The 20,567-nt window shown below is 42.4% G+C and overlaps 1 protein-coding gene and 1 non-coding gene across 19 annotated transcripts in view, besides 3 other annotated features; both read left to right on the forward strand.

Moving 5' to 3' along the window:
* The first annotated feature begins 14,417 nt into the window (after positions 1–14,417).
* LOC124904828 (small nucleolar RNA U13) lies at positions 14,418–14,520 on the forward strand. Its single transcript, XR_007067424.1, has one exon. It is a non-coding gene; the product is annotated as a small nucleolar RNA U13 (small nucleolar RNA).
* Positions 17,630–17,939: an enhancer, noted in NCBI's record as "active region_2085". NCBI's record gives its function as "activates an Ori minimal core promoter by ATAC-STARR-seq in GM12878 lymphoblastoid cells {active_cell/tissue: GM12878}" and the evidence as "EXISTENCE:reporter gene assay evidence [ECO:0000049][PMID:35858748]".
* Positions 17,630–18,594: a biological region, named in NCBI's record as "NANOG-H3K27ac-H3K4me1 hESC enhancer GRCh37_chr1:171454474-171455222".
* Positions 17,846–18,594: an enhancer, noted in NCBI's record as "NANOG-H3K27ac-H3K4me1 hESC enhancer chr1:171454474-171455222 (GRCh37/hg19 assembly coordinates)". NCBI's record gives its function as "activates a minimal SCP1, AML or CMV promoter by ChIP-STARR-seq in naive H9 embryonic stem cells {active_cell/tissue: H9 hESC(naive)}" and the evidence as "EXISTENCE:reporter gene assay evidence [ECO:0000049][PMID:30033119]".
* Positions 18,041–20,567, forward strand: part of PRRC2C (proline rich coiled-coil 2C) — a 107,982-nt gene continuing 105,455 nt past the window's right edge. For all 18 annotated transcript variants that reach the window (XM_005245020.3, XM_005245015.3, XM_005245025.3 and 15 more), the window contains exon 1: positions 18,041–18,246. The gene's annotated coding sequence lies outside the window, so the exon portion shown is untranslated. The remainder of the gene's footprint in view (positions 18,247–20,567) is intronic.

Genomic DNA, 20,567 nt, shown 5'->3' on the forward strand with positions numbered 1-20,567 from the left:
TCTCATGCCTCAGCCTCCCAAGGAGCTGGGATTACAGGCGTGCATCACCATATGCAGCTGATTTTTATAATTTTTTTTGTAGATACAGTGTTTCACCATGTTGGCCAGGCTGGTCTTGAACTCCTGGCCTCAAGTGATCTTGAGATCTGCCTGTCTCAGCCTCCCAAAGTTCTGGGATTATAGGTGTGAGCCACCATGCCCAGCCCTTTTTTTTTTTTTTTTTTTTTTTTGAGACATGCTCTCACTGGGTTGCCCAGGCTGGAGAGCAGTCATGTGATCATGGCTCACTGCAGCCTCAACCTCCTAGGCTCAGGTGATCCTTCCACCTCAGCCACAGATAGCTGGGGCTATAGGCACACACCACCACACCTGGATAACTTTTTGTATTTTTTGTAGAGACAAGGTTTGTCATGTTGCCTGGGCTGGTCTTGAACTCCTGGGATCAGGCAATCTGCCTGCCTTGGCCTTCCAAAGTGCTAGAATTACAGGTATGAGCCACCACACCTGGCCTTTTGCATCATTTTTAACTATAAATATTTCTACAAGTATCTCTAAGAGATGAGAATTTTTTAAACAACGTAATCACAATAACTTTTTCATATCCCATAATATTAAGAAGAAATCCTTAACTAGGCTAAGATCTAGTCCAGGAGAAATTTAATTTTATCAGAGCATTCATAAATGGATCAAGTTTTCGAGTGATAGCTTTTCAATGAGACTAAGAATTTTAAAAAGAGGAAAACTTTCAAAATTAAAATTGCAATCTCATTTTTTCTCATATTGCTCTGCAAATATAAATCTGGGCACTCAAACTCCAGAAGAGGATAAAAATAGCCCTATGAATCAAAACCATTAATCATATCCTGTTATTTTTAGTTATCTGTTTCTTCCTGATGTTTTAACTCAACATCAGTTTAATATATTTAATCATATTTTTTAAAAAGAAAAATATTTTAGATCCATCATGAAAAATTTTAACCAAAAGATAAATTGAAAGCTAAAGCAGGATGGTTGTCTAAGCCTGTGTCCATAACTTTGCACGAGACACTTAGTCATTTGGAAAGTCCTGTGTTAATAGCCTGTTCTATGACTCAATTATCTCCCACATAGAGACAGTACAAAACACCCTTAAGAAAACTCACACCTAGGCTGGGCACAGTGGCTCACACCTGTAATCCCAGCCCTTTGGGAGGCTGAGGTGGGTGGATCACCTAAGACCAGGAGTTCGAGACCAGCCTGGGCAACATGGTGAAACCATGTCTCTACTAAAAATACAAAAAATTAGCCAGGCCATGGTGGCGGGCACCTGTAATCCCAGCTACTCAGGAGCCTGAGGGAGAATTGCTTGAAGCCGGGGGGCAGAGGCATCAGTGAGCCGAGATTGCGCCATTGCATTCCAGCCTGGGCAACAAGAGCGAAACCCCATCTCAAAAAAGAAAAATAATAATAATAAGGCAAAAAAAACCTCACACCTAAAAAAAATGTAAAAATCACACAACATAAATGACCACTGGGTCACAGATGAAATTACCCTCCATACTAAAAGCAGACCCTAATAATGGCAATTTTGAGATAGCCTATAAAACGTGTGGCTCGGGGCCAGGGTGCAGTGGCTCACGCCTGTAATCCCAGCACTTTGGGAGGTCGAGGTGGGTGGATCACCTGAGGTTGGGAGATCGAGACCAGCCTGACCAACATGGTGAAACCCCGTCTCTACTAAATATACAAAATTAGCCAGGCGTGGTGGCATATGCCTGTAATCCCAGCTACTCAGGAGGCTGAGGCAGGAGAATCTCTTGAACTGGGAGGCAGAGGTTGCAGTGAGCTGAGATCGCAACACTGCACTCGAGCCTGAGTGACAGAGCTAGACTCCGTCTCAAAAAAAAAAAAAAAAAAAAAACATGTGGCTCTGAGTAAACTCTAAGTACCAGTGTTTTATTTTCACTAAAATGTTTAGAAAGATTCTTTCATACATAAAAGATGCTCAACAGTATTTGTTGATTCAATTTAATATTGAAACTAAAATTTTCCAACATAGCAAGTATTGAATTTCAGAGTAGGTAAAACATAGTGGATATGCATTATCCTGCATCCTGGAACTCAGTAGGGAAAAAAGGGGCTTTTTTCTTTTCTTTTCTTTTCTTTCTTTCTTATTTATTTATTTATTTATATATTTATTTGAGACTGTGTCTTGCTTTGTTGCCCAGGCTGGAATGCAGTGGTGTGGTCATAGCTCACTGAAGCCTTGACCTCCGGGCTCAAGCTGTCCTCCCACCTCAGCCTCCTGTGCAGCCAGGACCACAGGCACACACCAACACATCTAGCTAGTTTTTAATTTCTTTTTTTTCTTTTTTTGAGACAGAGTCTCGCTCTGTCACCCAGGCTGGAGTGCAGTGGCGCGATCTCGGCTCACTGCAAGCTCCGCCTCCCGGGTTCACGCCATTCTCCTGCCTCAGCCTCCCAAGTAGCTGGGACTACAGGCACCCGCCACCATACCCGGCTAATATTTTGTACTTTTAGTAAAGATGGGGTTTCACCGTGTTAGCCAGTATGGTCTCGATCTCCTGACCTTGTGATCCGCCTGCTTCAGCCTCTCAAAGTGCTAGGATTACAGGCATGAGCCACTGCACTCGGCCTAATTTTTAATTTTTTTGTACAGACAAAGTCTCCTTATGTTGTCCAGACTGAAAAGCTTTTTCTTATACACTTTTTAATCTACATTCAGTACATTACCTGCTGTCCCAAATATGTACATTTATATATTTAAATTCAGTGTTCATGCTGAATTTGTGCTGGCAGGATGGAGACATACAGCATCCCTACATTACCCCCATTCATAACTTCCAGGACTGTTCACAGGATGAGCGATGATGGGGACATTTTCTGGATATTGATAGAAAGGCACTTATCAATACTTCCTGTTTACGTATCAGTGAAGTGCTGATTTTTTTTTTTTTGGAAGAACACCCTAGTTGGTAAGGATGTCGTACCTCTCCAGAAAATTCTACTGTTGCCCTAGACCTAAATACATAGAAAAAAAAAGAAAAAAGAAAATTCTATTGCACCCTTTTCTAGCCTGAAATTTATCAGGGCTATGTAGAATTTACTTATCACATGTGTTCTAATTACATACCAGCATATATATAAACACAAAATATCAGCCCACATATTTTTCTACCAGCACACTTTCACTCCCAACAGTCACATGAATAAAGTAACAACACATGACCCTCTCCCAAAGTTTTAGGCTATGTTTTGCAGGAAGGATAATATGGGCAAATAAATTCATGTTAACCAGAGCAAAAAACAAACCAACAAACAAAAAAAACTAATGTACCTTGATGCAGTTTTCCTTATAAGTTATGTTTATTCTTCTCCCATTCATCTTTGTGAATAGGAACAATGTCTTCATTATGTTTGCTCCCTCAGAAGAGTGCATCGGAATCACATGAAGAGTTTTTGTTAAAAAAACACCAGTTCCCAGGATTACCCTTTATCAGGAACTTCAGAGAGTAGGGCTCAAGAATCTGTTACCTTAACAGTTCCTCAGATGCTTTTTCTGTTGACCAATACCAACAGCATATGAGAATTACTGCCCAGGGTACCCAGAGCAGCTCACTACATATAGTAGTTGTATATAAATGTTCAATGAATGAGTAAATAAACAAATGAATCAAAACTGGAAATGCACTGGGCTGGGTGGCTCACACCTGTAATCCCAGCACTTTGGGAGGCCGAGACGGGCGGATCACTTGAGGTCATGAGTTTGAGACCAGCCTGGCCAACATGGTGAAACCCTGTCCCTACTAAAAATACAAAAATTAGCCGGGCATGGTGGTGGGTGCCTGCAGTCTCAGCTACTAGGGAGGCTGAGGCATGAGAATCACGTAAATCCTTGAGGTGGAGGTTGCAGTGAGACAAGATCATGCCACTGCACTCCAGCCTGGGGGACAGAGCGAGACTCTGTCTCAAAAACAAAAATAAATTAATTAATTAATTAAAATGTATTTTAAAAACTGTGGAAATGAGCAACTCTGTGAGCTCTGACCACACCCGAGGCCTATTGGTCTATGAGTCTTCTAAGTGTCTTGCATCTTACATCATTTGGCCAGATAGATGCTGGCTCAACTCTGATCTGTGTTGCCTCATTGCATTTCACTCCTGAGCAGCCAGCAGGACCCCACCTCAAAAAACAAGCTGCCTGGCATGTGGCTCATGCCTGTAATCCCAGCACTTTGGGAGGCCGAGGTGGGCAGATCACCTGAGGTTGGGAGTTTAAGACCAGTCTGACCAACATGGAGAAACCCCATCTCTACTAAAAATACAAAATTAGCCAGGTGTGGTGGTGCATGCCTGTAATCCCAGCTACTCAGGAGACTGAGGCAGGAGAATCACTTGAACCCGGGAGGCAGAAGTTGCTGTGAGCCGAGATTGTGCCGTTGCACTCCAGCCTGAGCAACAAGAGCGAAACTCTCAAAAACAAACAAACAAGCAAACAAACTAAAAAACAAAACAAAACAAAACAAAAAGAAAGCTTTGCCTTATTTATCTCCTGGCTTGTAAATTAAGGAGACTGAAATCCTAAATCCTAGTCCACAGAAATACCTACTGGCATTCAATATATTGCTAAAATAATTAATTGGGAAACCATTAGGCTGAGAAGGCTGCAGTGCCTTGGGTTCCTACATAAGCAAACCAAAAGCCCACTCAGTGTAAACAGTAAAACAAAACATAAGCTTAACCAGTCAGAAACCATAAACTGGCTGGGTGTGGTGGCTCGCTCATGCCTGTAATCTCAGTACCTTGGGAGGCCAAGGTGGGCGCATTTCCTTGAGGTCAGGAGTTTGAGACCAGCCTGGGCAACACGGTGAAACCCCATCTCACCAGGCAACGTGAGCGTGCGCCTATAGTCCCAGCTATTCAGGAGGCTAAGGTGGGAGAATCTCTTGAGCTTGGGAGGTTGAGCAGAGCACTGAGCTGTGATTGTGCCACTGCCCTTCAGCCGTGGCAACAGAGTGAGACCCTGTTTCAAAAAGAAAAGAAAAGAAACCACAAGCTAACCTTTAACTAGAGACATTAACAATCATAAACTGCCAACTCTAACCTCTAACTAGGGACTTTTCTCTTTAACCAAATATTTTATTTGTCTTGCTTGTGCGAGCACCTTATAAAAATTTCCCCCTCATGTTCCCTCAGTGGAGTCCTGAACCACTTGTGATCCAGTGCTGCTTAATTCGTGAATCACTGAATGTTTAAATAAACTCATTAAAATTTTAAGGTGCTGAGGGCCAGGCGCCCTAGCTTGTGCCTGTAATCCCAGCTACTTGAGAGGCTGAGGCAGGAGGATCATTTGAGCCCAGGCGTTGGGGCTGTAGTGAGCTACGATTGTACCACTACACTCCAGACTGGGTGACAGAGCAAGATCCTGTGTCTGAAGAAATAAATAAATAAAAATTTTATCTTGCTATGTACTGTTTACTTTGTATATGCCAGGCATAGTAGAGGATACAAAATAATTATAAAGTTTGATACCTGCATGTATTAGTCCGTTTTCACACTGTTAATAAAGACATATCTGAGACTGGGTAATTTATAAAGAAAAAGAGGTTTAATGGACTCACAGTTCCACATGACTGGAGAGGCCTCACAATCATGGCAGAAGGCAAGGAGGAGCAATGCCATGTCTTACATGGCAGCAGACAAGAGAGAGTGTGCAGGGGAACTGCGCTTTATAAAACCATCAGATTTCCTGAACTTATGCACTCACGAGAACAGCACGGGAAAAACCCACTCCCATGAATCAATTACCCCCCACCAGATCTCTCTCACAACACATGGGGATTATGGGAATTACAATTCAAGATGAGATTTGGGTGGGGACGCAGCCAAACTATATCAGTGCCCTTGGATACTTTTTACATTTAATGTTGGAAAGAGGAAAAAATGTGTCATATCCTATGCTAAGAACTTTGTTGACATCATTTAATTCATTCCTTGGAGCAATTATGTAAGAGGTGTGGTGCGGGATGTATTATTATCTCTATCTCACAGGTTAAAAAAAAGAAAAAAAAAATCCTACAAAGGCTCAAGAGGTAAAATACCAGCTAAAGGTTATATATTGGCACAGTTTGAATTTGAACTTCCCTGACTCAGAACCCAAGCTATTGTCACTAGCCTATTATACATGCAAGTGCAATGGAAGTTACTATCCATTCAATATCTACCCAAGAAATATAAAATATGCCTTTACTGTGCACTAGGCCCTGATGTAAATACAGATCACACATGGCAGACATTTAATAGTCACAGCAATGAGTATTATGAAGGAAAACTGTAGGATGTTACACAGTAGCCTGTAACCAGTAACTTATCTTGGTCTGTTAAAGAAAGAATTGTTCTAACACTCGTTAAAGACGGTAAAGCTGACTTTATTGGAGGAGGGCCATGGCAATGGGTATAGAAACAACTGTAATGAGGTCTTGCAGTGGGGGAAGGAGATTAGACTCAACTCTGACTCCAACAAAAACAAGGGAAATTTGTAACCAAGTAGCGAGATGGGAGTCAAGTCAGTGGTTGGAAAATTACTTAGAGGGAACATCAAGGATAAGGAGATTTCTGGCTAAATCAACTTCATAGTATTATTGTTAAGGTTAGCCTAGAGTGGTAAGATATGGGGGTAATGAGATAACAAGGGTGGGGAATTTTTCACTAAATCGACTTAGTGGGATTTTTGTTCAAACTGGATTCTATGAGGACAGAGAGGGAAGCCCAGAGAGGTTTATTCAAGCAGAGGACTCAGAGGAGGCTGATTAGAGTTTTGGTGAAAGGAGAGAGTCTTTGGCAGGTCTAAGGATTCAGCAAGTAGCTGAATCCTAAGTCCAGCAACTCTACTTTCTAGTTTCATGATTTGGGGGAAGGAACAGTTTATTATCTGCAAAATAAGGGATATAATGCAAATCGTAAGTTTTGTGAGACTTACCAGATAAAATGTTAAAAGCACAGAATCTAACAAAAAGTAAGCGCTCAATAAACATTACTTAGCAATTACTTTAAACATACATATTAAATAAATATTACATTTAAATATTCGTATCTTTTTATGATCAGGCCTGGAGAAAATTTAAGATGATGCAAATGCAGGGATAAAAGCAGATGAAAATGAGCAGTAGAAACAGAGGAAGGAGCACAGTCAAAGGCCCTGAGGCATGAGAAGCAAGGCATCACAGAACTCGGTTTTAAGGTCCAGTCCTGCCTGGCTGAAAAAAAGAGAACCCTGCCAGGGGAAGCTGGAAAGATGGGTAAGGGACACACCAAAATGTCAAAATTTATCAACTTACATACTTTAATTTTTTATTTATTATTATTTTTTAAATTGAGCTGAGGCTTTTGCTATGTTGTCAAGGCTGGTCTCAAACATCTGGGCTCAAATGATCCTCCCACCTTGGCCTCCTGAGTAGCTGGAACTACAAGTGTGCACTGCCACACCTGGCTGACCTGTATGCTCTAAACATACACAGCATACTGGATGTCATACATACCTCAACAAATCAATTCAGTGTAATAAAATTATAAGAAAAAATAAGTCACTTTGATAAAGACAAAGGTAAAGAGAGGAAAACAAAATAGCAGTGACCTTAATAGTTTACTTAAATGACATATGGTGGTGACTTAGATTACAATGGTGGCAACTGGAATGGGGAAAAAAAATAAGGACTTGGCGATTGATTAGATATAGTGATTTTCAGGATAAAGGAGAAAATGACATCTGGTGGATTTTCCTGATTTCTGGCTTCAGCAAACTGGATAGATGATGGTATTGCAGGCTGGCTTCTTTGGGGTAACAGTCAAATTAGCATGCAGAACACTAACTAGCATGCTTTGGGGAACACCAGGGGAAAGGAGGAGAGAGAAGCAGAATCAGACAGACTGAGAAGTTGATCTATGATAAGTCCCAATGAAGGCTTTTGCCAACAGTACATGAAGTTCTGAAACTGAAGTATCCGTTCATAATGGTCCTCAGATGAGATAAAAGGCCCAGATCTTTGTACCCTCACACCAATCAGTCATTTAGATGGTGGATGCCTCTGAAAAGAGTTGTGACCTTGGGCAAGGCAGTTCTCATTAGCTGAGGCAATCTCAAAAGAAGGTTTAGTCTCAAAGAGGGCTATTCTCACCCAGCACTCCCAAGAACTCTAAAATCAGTCATTCCTTCCCCAGGAGGGACTGGGCAGCACATCTCAGTGTCCACCACAGGTGGTGGTTCTCTCACTGAGACACAGAACCCTTACCTCAAATGGATAACAACTTTACATATTACAAAAACACAAGGGAGGCGTGGTGGCTCACGCCTGTAATCCCAGCACTTTGGGAGGCCGTGGCGGGAAGATCACTTGAGGCCAGGAGTTCAAAACAAGCCTGGCCAATATGGCAAAACCCCATCTCTACTAAAAATACAAAAATTAGCTGGGTATGGTGGTGCATTCCTGTAATCCTAGCTACTTGGGAGGCTGAGGCAGGAGAATCAATTGAGCCCAGGAAGTTGCAGTGAACCAAGATTGTGCTACTGCACTCCAGCGTGGACAACAGAGCCAGACCTTGTCTCAAAATAAAATAAAATAAAAAACTCAAACAAACAAACAAACAAAAAAACACAACCATCAGTCAAGTGCTATACTAGCTTGTTAATAAAATTTTAAATTTGCAGCTAGACATATGCCTGTAATCCCAGCACTCTGGGAGGTCAAGGCAGGAGGATCCCTTGAGCTCAGGAGTTTGAGACCAGCCTAAGCAGCATAGTGAGACCCTCATCTCTACAAAAAAAAAAAAAAAAAGAAAAGAAAAGAAGGAAAGGAAAGAAAAAGAAAGAAAGAAAGAAAGAAAAGGAAAGAAAAAGAAAGAAAGAAAGAAAGAAAGAAAGAAAGAAAGAAAGAATGAAAGAAAGAAAGAAAGAAAGATTGATTAGCTGGGCAAGGTGGTACACACCTGTAGTCCCAGCTACTTGGGAGGCTGAGGCAGGAGAATCACATGAGCCTTGGCAGTTGAAGCTGCAGTGAGCTGTGATCAGCCTCTGCACTCTAGCCTGGGTGGCAAAATAAATACATTCTGCATTTAATGGTCACAAATGGGTTTTAGAATGCTTGCCTTCTGAAATCACACCATTGCAAGAGTAACTCCCTAGTTTCTTAAGAGAATAATGATGGAGTTTCTGTGGAAGTAAAAACAATCTGAGGAAACAATCCAGCCCTGCCTACTTCTCTCAACCCCTACTGCAGGATTCAAGCCTCCTCTCACTACTCCTTGGATTATCATTACAGCCCCTGAAACAGCTGCTCTTGTGCCAGGCAAACCATTCTTCACATTTCAGCTAAAGAAAAGCTTCAGACATTAACCATTTACAGCTCCAGCAGCTAGCACAATCACTGGTACATAGTTTATACTCAATTAATACTTGTTGAAAGAAAAAGTCACTAAGGAATAAAATATATTAAGCTGTCTTTCCTATGTGATATCATAAAACTTACACATTTTATCTAGATTACGTAATATCCCAGTTTAAATCTAATCATTGGCTCCTATTGCCCTCAGTCATACAAAGTCAGTTTACATGACTTTTTGCAATCTGGTCTCTGATCATCTCTGAAGTTTTGCTTTTTTGCCCCTTTTTTCACCTTTCTCCCCCCTCCACCTCTTCCCTTTTACTTTATGAACAACAGAGCTATCAAGATGCTTTTTAAAATCCTCAAACATGCCATGCTCCATTTGGCTTTTGGGATCTTTCCATACGCTGGTCTCTCTGCCTGAAACATTCTTCACCCTTCACTATATGCAAGTTAACTGCCTCCCTTTCCCCAAAACTTGCCCCATCACTTCCTGTCATATCTGCACACACACACATACAGACACACACCCTCACTCATAACATATATTCACATGAGTATCTAATTCCTATAAACTGTTGGGGCTTAATTCTGGGCAGAAATGTAGTTATAAGCATTAATCAGGCTGCGCTATGACCCACTTCCTTGTAAGTGAAAGTCGCATAACAGTAGATACTGACCATTTGCGTCTTGATTTTCCCTATAGATAGGATTTCTAACATTAAAATCATTAGGCTTTTAAGAACCGCTTAAAGTCGGGCACGGCTGCTCATGCCTGTAATCCCAGCACTTTGGGAGGCTAAGGTGGGCAGATCACCTAAGTTCAGGAGTTCAAGACTAGCCTGGCCAACATGGTGAAACCCTGTCTCTGCTAAAAATACGAAAATTAGCCAGGTGTGGTGGTGGGCATCTGTAATCCCAGCTACTTGGGAGGCAGAGGCACAAGAATCACTTGAACCCAGGAGGCAGAGGTTGCAGTGAGCTGGGATCTCACCATTACACTCCAGCCTGGGTGACAAGAGCGAGACTCTGTCTCAAAAAACAAACAAAAAAAAACTGCTTAAACAGATCCTGAATTCCAGACAGAACAGCTGACACCAACTAGTTTAAAGATCTCCACAGAGCAGCCTAGTCAGCATGAGAATATGGTTTCTTCATCTCCTGCCCCATGACTTTACTCTGCACTCTTCAACCAATCAACTATCTCTACACTTCTGCCCACTCTGAAACCCTTAAAAACCCAAGCCCTAAACTCCTCATGGCCCAATGATTAAATCTTTCTCTGCTGCAACCCTGCATATTGACTTGCAATAGATCTATTATGGCTACATTCCCTGACCCCCACCATCCCTGCAAATGTGGGTTAGGTGCCTTCCTTTGGACTCACAAGGCACTTTTAATTCTCTCATCAGAGAATTTATCACCTGTGATGGTTATTTTTCTGTGTCAACTTGGCTGGGCTACTATGTCAATATTTGGTCAAACATTATCCTGAATGTTTCTATAAAAGAGGTGTTTTTTGTTTGTTTGTTTATTTGTTTTTTGAGACAGAGTCTCGCTTTGTTGCCCAGGGTAGAGTGTGGTGGCCCAATCTCGGCTCACTGCAACCACCACCTCCCAGGTTCGATCAATTCTCCTGCGTCAGCCTCCCAAGTAGGTGGGATTACAGGCATGCGCCATCACACCTGGCTAAGTTTTGTATTTTTAGTAGAGCTGAGGTTTCACCATGTTGGCCAGTGTGGTCTCAAACTCCTAACCTCAAGTGATCCACCTGCCTTGGCCTTCCAAAGTGCTGGGATTACAGGCATGAGCTGCTTCATCCGGCCTATAAAAGTGTTTTTGTTTTGTGGGAGGGGGTGGGGGGGTGATTATATTAACTGTAAATGGATGTATTTTGACCTTCATAATGTGAGTGGGCCTCATACAATCAAGTGAAGGCCTAATGGAAAAAAGACTGATCTCCCCCAAAGGAATTCTTAAGTGTGGCAGCCTTTTGACTTAAACTACAACTTTGTCTCTTCCCTGGGTCTCCAGCCTGTTGGTCTACGTATCCTATTGGTTCTGTTTCTCTGAAGGACCCTGACTAATATGTCACTTTTAATCATAATTACTTATAATTTCACCCCACTCTCATCCCACTTGAATAGAATCTCCTGAGAACAGGAATTTAAACTGTTTTATTCATTTTTATGTCTTCCTTAGCCTGATATATCATGACTTTTTTTTTTTTTTTTTTTTTTTTTTTTGACAGAGTTTTGCTCTGTTTTCCAGGCTGGAAAGCAGTGGCAAGATCATAGCTCACTGCAGCCTCAAACGCCTGGGGTCAAGAGATCCTCCAGCCTCAGCCTCTCAAGTAGCTGAGATTATAGGCACACACCTGGCTAATACATAGGTAATATGGAATATTGTTCTTTTGTTTTTTATGGAATATTGAAATGAAGAGTTTCATTTCACTGCAATTCCCCAAGGCTGCTAAATACTTTGAGATGCTTTCTCTCAATTCTCTTTCAATCACTATTCCCCTTTCTCTCTTCTATCAAGACCATGCCCTATGAAGTTAACAATGGTCCAACCTCTAGAGAATTGCACTAATTCCCATTTGAAGCAATTATTCACTAAGACTCTCAGCAGCTCATAGAAATATTTCTGAAACAATCATTTAATTAACCCCAGCAGAAAAAAGAATAGAGAAGAGCCTGTAGTCCCAGCTACTCTGGAGGCTGAGGCAGGAGAATGGCGTGAACCCAGGAGGTGGAGCTTGCAGTGAGCCGAGATTGCGCCACTGCACTCCAGTCTGGGTGACAGAGCGAGGGTCCATCTCAAAAAAAAAAAAAAATAGAGAAGAGAAAGAGAAACAAACCAAAAAACCAAACTAGGTACAAGCTACTGGTGGCATTGTAACATATGAAATTCTCTCTTCCACCACAAGCCTAAAAATTATTCAAAATACCTAGTCCCAATGGTAACCAAAAAAAGTACTATCAATCTTACTTCTCTTAATTACTATGAAGCAATAAAATATTTGACATCAGATAGTTTTATTTATACATATACCCAATTGGTTGGGCAGCAGATACATAAAAAGTCTCGTATACTTTAAGAAATGCTACAAGCGACAGCCAGAGTTACAATTTTAATTTATTGGGCACTGTATTCATATTCATTAGTAATATCTCACGGATCTGCTTTTTGGCCTAAAAATTTAAGAAATTACAATTTTCTGTATCTTCAGTTACCACCTGGCTATTTTCCTTTTTTAAGCTTTTCCTGTTCTGCCTTTGTTGTGGCCCCTTTCCCTTTGTGATCTTCCCCTTCAGATCAGTGCCTTTTATCGCTACTCATTTGCTGACTCAGGTGAATTTACAGCCTAAGGCAAAAATGGGAGCCAGCAAAGTTTGTTTTCTCAGTCTCTCCCCTCTTTCCCTCCCTTCTTCCTGCAGCTCTGTGAGGGACTAAATCTTCCAGATATTCTGTGCTTATTAACAACACAGCACCCTCTTGACTTGGAATCCATAGCTGTAAGAACTTAGTTTCTCCTGTCAGCTAAGAAAACTCTGGGAAAATTTTTGGTGGACAGTAAATGCCAGGTAATCCAAACTTCATTAATTTATGACATAACAAATAAATACAACTTTTAGCCAAACTGTCCCCTTTATTCAATTATAAAAAGTGTTTGCTAAGTCAATAAACAGACTGGTAATTAAAATATTTATCGGCTGGGCGCAGTGGCTCACGCCTGTAATCCTAGCACTTTGGGAGGCCGAGGCGGGTGGATCACCTGAGTTTAGGAGTTCGAGACCAGCCTGGCCAACATGATGAAACACCCTCTGTACTAAAAATGCAAAAATTAGCTGGGTGTGGTGGCGGGCGCTTGTAATCCCAGCTACTCGGGAGGCTGAAGTAGGAGAATTGCTTGAACCCAGGAGACGGAAGTTGCAGTGAGCCAAGATTGTGCCACTGCACTCCAGCCTGGGTGACAAGAACAAGACTCCATCTCAAAAAATAATAATAAAATAAAATAAAATAAAGTATTTATCCTACTTGGCCAGGCGCGGTGGCTCACGCCTGTAATCCTAGCACTTTGGGATGCTGAGGCAGGTGGATTGCCTGAGCTCAGGAGTTCGAAACCAGCCTGGGGAACACGGTAAAGCCCCATCTCTAAAAAAAAAAAAAAAAAATTACGCGGGTGTGGCAGCAGGCGCCTGTAGTCCCAGCTACTCCAGAGGCTAAGGCAGGAGAATGGCTTGAACCTGAGAGGCGGAGGTTGCAGTGAGCCAGGATCACACCACTACACTCCACACTCCAGTCTGGGTGAGAGAGTGAGACTCCGTCTCCAAAAGAATAAATAAATAAATAAATAATTTATCGTACTTTATATATAATGTAAAATTTTACATATAACATATAATATAAACATTATAATGTACTCAACAGATAGCCTCTCACAAGTTGGCCAAAGGTTTTTTTTTTGCGGGGGCGGGGAAGGAGTCTTGCTCTGTCACCCAGGCTGGAGTGCAGTGGCAGGATCTCAGCTCACTGCAACCTCGGCCTCCTGGGTTCCAGCAATTCTCCTGCCTCAGCCTCCTGAGTAGCTGGGACTACAGGCGCCCACCACCACACTCGGCTAATTTTTCGTATTTTTAGTAGAGACGGGGTTTCACTGTGTTAGCCAGGATTGTCTCGATCTCCTGACCTCAGGTGATCTGCCCGCCTCGGCCTCCCAAAGTGCTGGGATTACAGGTGTGAGCCTCCATGCTTGGCCCATTTTTTTCTTAGTTTTTGTTTTTTCTGGACCCCCCGCAAAGGTGATTTGTTGAAGAACTATCAACATTTTTCTTATCTTTATTAGCAAATGTACAACATCTGTTGATGTTTATAAACCGGGATTACATTTTCATGCAGTATTTGGGTATTCTGGTTTTCTTTACACCAGGCTTATCATGTTTCATAGTTTTTAACTAAATATGATTTGCTGGATCATTCATAAAAAGAAAACAAAATTGTCAAATGCACCTAAACACTTAAGAAACACAACTGCTGATCCTTTTGTAGTTCATAAGTGTGATGATTCAGTGTTCACATGAATCTATGAGATGCGCCAACCTCAAACCTTGTTATGACGTGGTCCATTACCCATCTGATGTGAAAATTTAAAATTTTTAAACAAAGAAGAGAGAAAAAAGGAACATTACTGCTAATAAAGTATGATACTTTCACTGATCATTTTGTTTTTAACTACTCTACCGTAAAATTTCAGTGCCTACAGGATTATGGAATCAATCACAATGAGAAGGGTAGAAACTCATTAAATCATTAGCAAATAAGGCTGGACAATCACAAAGAAAATACGTCATATTGTTTGGAGAGTGAATTTGTTTTCAGTAAGAAACTAGTTTGCCTGATTCCACACCACCCAATTGGAAATTTGATAATGTTATTCTAAAATTATTGTTTAAATAGAAGTGTTGTAAATTAAATGAAAAGTTTTCATTCAATCTGTCATGAAGACATTTTTGTTATAACAAATTTGTCTACAATGGTGGAGTGTCAGGAGAAGTGCAATCCAAGTCAAGGAGACTTCAGTCACATTTTCCCCAATAAATTGGAAACAAAGGCAGTAAGACTGCTCTCTAAAAGTTAGACTTTAAGATCACATACATAGCTAGGAGCAGAAATAAGCAAAGTCACCTTTAAAACACAAACTGGTTTGATTTAACTGTAACTTGATTTTTATTGAAATAATATTGCAAAGAGGTTTGGGTAGCCATGGAAACAGAGAAAGTAACGTACAGGGGGCACTTTAGGGTCAGTGGCCATCCAAGTGCTGCTAAGGAGACAAGGAGCACAAATCAGCAGCTCAGCAGGATGTCACCACTATATTGGAGATCAATGCGGGCAACTGCAGCCATTGGAAATTGAGAACTTCTATTTTCGGGACAAAATTCTCCTGTTGTGAAGATAGATGACTCAAGAAAAGTCTATACATATAACTCCACTTGTTCAGAATATGTGCTCATCAAGCAACCTTCTGATAATGCCTTGGTTTCCTGAGTAGGTTTGGCTACACAGAAAATGCACTCAGCGGGGCCAGGCACAGTGGCTCACACCTGTAATCCCAGCACGTTGGGAGGCTGAGGCAGGCGAATCACATGCGGTCAGGAGTTTGAGACCAGCCTGGCCAACATGGCGAAACCCCATCTCAACCAAAAATACAAAAATTAGCTGGGCGTGGTGGCGCCTTTGTGTAATCCCAACTACTCGGGAGGCTGAGGCAGGAGAACCGCTCGAACCTGGGAGGTGAAGGTTGCAGTAAGCTGAGATTACGCCACCTGGACAACAGAGTGAGACTCCATGGGGAAAAAAAAAAAGAAAGAAGGAAGGAAGGAAGGAAGAAAAGGCAGGCAGGCAAGGAAGGAAGGAAGGGAGGGAGGGAGGGGAGGGGAAGGGAGGGAGGGAGGGAGGGGAGGGGAGAAGGAGGGAGGGAGGGGAGGGGAGGGGAGGGAAATGAGAAAATGTACTCAAGAAAAGATAGCACCTTGGGTCCATGCTGGCATACCGGAGGCTTTCTGTTTCTGGCAAAAATTAAAAGAAAAAAAGAAAAAAAAAGTATTGGCTTTGCAGTTGTTGAGTGTTCAGGTGTATAAATTAAAGCTCTTAGAAATTAATAATTTAATACATGTCTTTTTTTTTTTTTTTTTTTTTTTGAGACAGAGTCTCGCTCTCTCGCTCTGTTGCCCAGGCTGGAGTGCAGTGGCAGGATCTGTGCTCACTGCAAGCTCCGCCTCCTGGGTTCACGCCATTCTCCTGCTTCAGCCTCCTGAGTAGCTGGGACTACAGGCGCCCGCCACCACGCCCGGCTAATTTTTTTTTGTATTTTTTAGTAGAGACTGGGTTTCACCGTGTTAGCCAGGATGGTCTCGATCTCCTGACCTTGTGATCCGCCCGCCTCGGCCTCCCAAAGTGCTGGGATTACAGGCGTGAGCCACCGCGCCCGGCCATACGTGTCAGTCTTATGACCTTGGTTAATGTAATTTCATCTGATTGCTGAAGTTGTTCTCCATTGCTCAAGACAGATGATTTGGCTGGGCGTGGTGGCTCATGCCGGTAATTCCGGCACTTTGGGAGGCCAATGCGGGAGGCTTGCTTGAGCTCAGGAGTTCGAAACCAGCCCAGTCAACATAGCAAGACCTCGTCTCTACTGGCAAAAAAAAAAAAAAAAAAAAAAAAAAGCCAGGTTTTGTGGCAAGCACCTGTAGTCCCACCTACCTGGGAGGCTGAGACAGGTGGATTGCTTGAGCCTGGGAGGTTGAGGCTTCAGTGACCTGTGATTATGCCACTACACTCCAGCCTGGGCAGCAAAGTGAGACCCTGCCTCCAAAAAAACAAAGAAAGATGTTTCTGTGACCAGGACACTATAGACCAGATCCTAGAAGGTTGTAGAAATTCACTAAAGTAATGCTTCCTTGTCCTCTTGTGGATGATCAGTAGGCTTTCCCCTGGCAATGACCCTATATCAATAAAAAAACTTTTTCTTTTCTTCTTTTCTATTTTTTCGAGAAAGAGTCTCGCTGCAGCCTCAACCTCCTGTGCTCAAGTGATCCTTTTGCCTCCAGCCTCCCAGGTAGCTAGGACTATAAGCATGTGCCACTATGCCTAGCTAGCTTTTTTTCTTTTTAATTTTTTTGCAGAGGTAGGGTCTCACTATGTTGCCCAGATTGGTCTTGAACTCCTGGTCTCAAGCAATCCTTTTGCCTTGACCTACCAAAGTATTAGTATTACAGGCATGAGCCACCAAGCAAGTCCAGACTTTTCTACTTCAAATTAATATTAGTGGGGAGGGAGGTGTTCATAATTTACCTCTCTTTATTATTTCATTTATTCTAACATTGCTACAGTGACAATTCCATGGACATACACCAGCTACTGGCGGGGAAGATCGTTCAGACCAGAAGTGGTAAGAAATCCTTGAATTTTAAATATGTCATAGGTAGTTCACAAAGAGGACAAAAGATACCATTTACTAAACATTCGCCATCTGTTCTGACATAATATTATCATCATTGTAGTCTCCCACTTCCAGATACACTCATCTGCCTATGTTACACTTGCCTAGTAAAAGCCAGCATGGGTGAATCTTACTATTCAACGGAGCTGAACACTGTGATGGAGAGATCATATAAATAAACTGAATGGCTTATCTCACATCCATAATTAGAAACTTAAAAAGTGCTCTCAGCAGCCCATGCTACTCTGTTCCTCACACTAGTTTTACTTTCACTCTCTGTGATAACTTTTCAATACACCAAGACTTCTCAGCTTGCCCCAAATTCACTGAGACATACTGGCGAACTGCTGGTTCAACCATTTACACATCCACCCACCAGACATAAGAGTGCTCATTTCACTGAGGCTTATTATCAACTTGTAAACGTGGTCAATTCAAGACTTCTTAGAAAGGTCTCAGGTCCAAGCTTTGTCCTGAAAAGATAATTCTGATTGCAGAAACTCCCTCCGTCCAGCAGGAAGCGCCAGCACCCTCTGTCGGGGTTGGGCCGCCACGGAGGCTTCACGTGATCCGGCCGTCTCTGCGCAGGAGTGTGGTCTTGCGGAGATTTGACCTACGTACTTAGCGTCATGACGTAGTACGTAGGGGCTGGCTAGCCGCCATCTTGCTTCTTTTTCTCGCTCGCTCGCTCCCCCTCGGAAAGCTGCGAAAGTGCTTTGGCGGTTTGTCCATCCGCAGCTTCGGCTTTTCCAGTCTGGTGGCCCTTCCGGCCACCCCTTTAACCCCAGCTTTCCCTCCCCCTTCTTTCGATCAGAGATCGGCGGAGACCCTCGAAGTGCGCAAACTTGACACTCACCCTGACCGGTAAGGAAAGCGAGGGTGTGGGGGCCGCGATCAAAGAGGGCCCCATCGGGAACGGCCAGAGTGCGGCCTGGGGCGTGGGAGCGCACCCAGACCCTGGCGCCCGGAGGCTAGGGGGCCGCGTGGAGAGGGCCTTGGGTCCGGGCATTTCCCTTCTGTTTGGTTACCATCATCTCTGTGTCTGGGGAAGTCGGCCTCCAGCTTGGGGAGCGGGAAACCGGAGTCAGACCCGCCCCATGTGGTCTGCAGCGGGAGTTCTGGACCGGTCTGTCTTGCTCCCACCTAGACCCCAGTCCTGGCCCTGCGAGGGGATTACGCATGTTGCCGGGTAAGCGAAGGGGGTTTCCGTCTTCCTGGACTGGCGGACGTGAAGTCTTTTTTTTTTTTTTTTTTTTTTAGTGTCGGGTATGCGTTTCCCCAAACAACTGAAGGACTCAGCCGGGGCTTTCACTGTCTACCTCTTCCTGTGTAGTGAGGGTGGGACTTGCAATGAGCAATGTATGGGAGGGTCTGGTTTAAAGACCTGGTTAGATGAGAGGCTCTTCGGGGAATCAAGACCAACCCTACTTCCGCTAGGGAAGTGCTGCCCAACTCCGGAGGAGGATTTGGGTAGTCTTTTCACACTCTAGGCCGCTCCATCCTCTAACTTGCGTGGTGAATCTCGGTAGCTCCCTGTCTTTGAGATAGCGTTGATATTGGTGGTGTCAGGGTAAAGGCCCCGTTTTAGGACTGAAGAAAAGGGCATGGGGCCACTATAGAGACATTGATAGAGTCTTCCTTCCTTTGCATGAGAGGAGTACCTTTAATTTAAAGGGATGTATGTGTGTTTTGACATTATTTGGGATCTTTTGAGGGTCTGACATGCCTGATGTTTGCTGGCTTATAAAGCTACCTGGATTTCCGCATTGGCTGGTTTTCAGCCTGGGTTCATAGATTCATACCTCGTTAGAGTACTTAGAATTGTACAGTAGGCGGCTCTGCTGTAAGATTTTCATTTGGAATGCACCAGAAGAATCGGAGGATTTTTTGATTGTTGAGTACTTAATAGCTTACTCCTGCAAATAAAAATAATAGGGTGATACTAAGCACCTACCAAGCCTAACCCCACCATTTTTCAAAACTAGATTTCACCTCCCATATTGGTAATTAAGATGCTGCTTTGACTGGAGCCATTTTTAGGTGTGTGTCACAGATGCACTGCAGCATCTTTTCTGGCTCACCCCAAATGCATTGATCCCCTAAAAAATTAGGAATAAATTGAACTTGAATTTTGTCTTTAGCATGTAGTCAAATAGTAATTCTCTCCTTTTCTGTAAGTGGATTTTCAGAATATAGCCTTTTTAAGTGATTGTGTTTGCTCTGCTTAGCTTATGTGTGGCTGTTCTCCATTAGGTGACCTTTTGCTATACACTGAGCACAGTAATAAGTCCTTTTCATACATTTTTTTTTTAATCTCCACAACAGACCTTTGAGAAAAGTGCTATTAAGATCATCCCCATTTTACAGATGAGGAAATGAAATCTGAGAGAGTAGTCTGACCAAGGTCACATAGCAGTTATTGGTGGTATTGTGTAGGTTCAATTCCATACTGTCTGAACCCAAAGGGGATGCTCTAAACCTTCAACCTGCTTTTTAAATTATAAACTACAGTAACTAAATAAGATAAAGCATTATTAACTAGTAGTTTTTCTTTAGCTTGACTAGTATATGAATATTGTTGCATGCTAAGGTTAAAGTTTTGAAAGTTGTAAAAATGGAATATATCCACTTTGGACTTGGGGTAGAGGCTAATTTTTTTGTGTCCTTTTCTATTTGAGTGCTTAGAGATAACTTAAAACTAACTCTACCATGTCGTAGATATAATTTTTAAATTTAGGCGTCTGATCTATATTATTGGTAGAATATTCCCTCATCTGTAAAATGGTGATGATAATAGGACTTCCCTCAGAGGCTTTTATAGGAGTAAAAAAAGATAATGGATAATGTATGTAAAGGGCTTATTACTATGCTTAGTGCATAGTAAAAGGTCAACTAATAGTGGAGGGAGAATGGTAGGATATTGGTAGAAGAAAATACTCTCTTCCAAGCAATAAATAATCTGTAAATTCTCAGGGTGATGTATATATTTCTTTAGGTACATAAGAAAATTTCACCTCCCCTTATCCCTGATATGTCTACTTATATGCAGGATTTTGCTTCTTAGCGATTTCTTTATGCTCTACAGTAAATATCCCTGGGATGAGTATCTTGTTCATAGCTGAAAATGCAGAAGTTCTGGCTCATTCCAGCCCCCTCTCTTCTTCTTACCCCCACCCCACCCTCTT

This window comes from Homo sapiens, chromosome 1 (assembly GCF_000001405.40).
Source record: "Homo sapiens chromosome 1, GRCh38.p14 Primary Assembly".
In the NCBI taxonomy this organism is placed as follows: domain Eukaryota; kingdom Metazoa; phylum Chordata; class Mammalia; order Primates; family Hominidae; genus Homo; species Homo sapiens.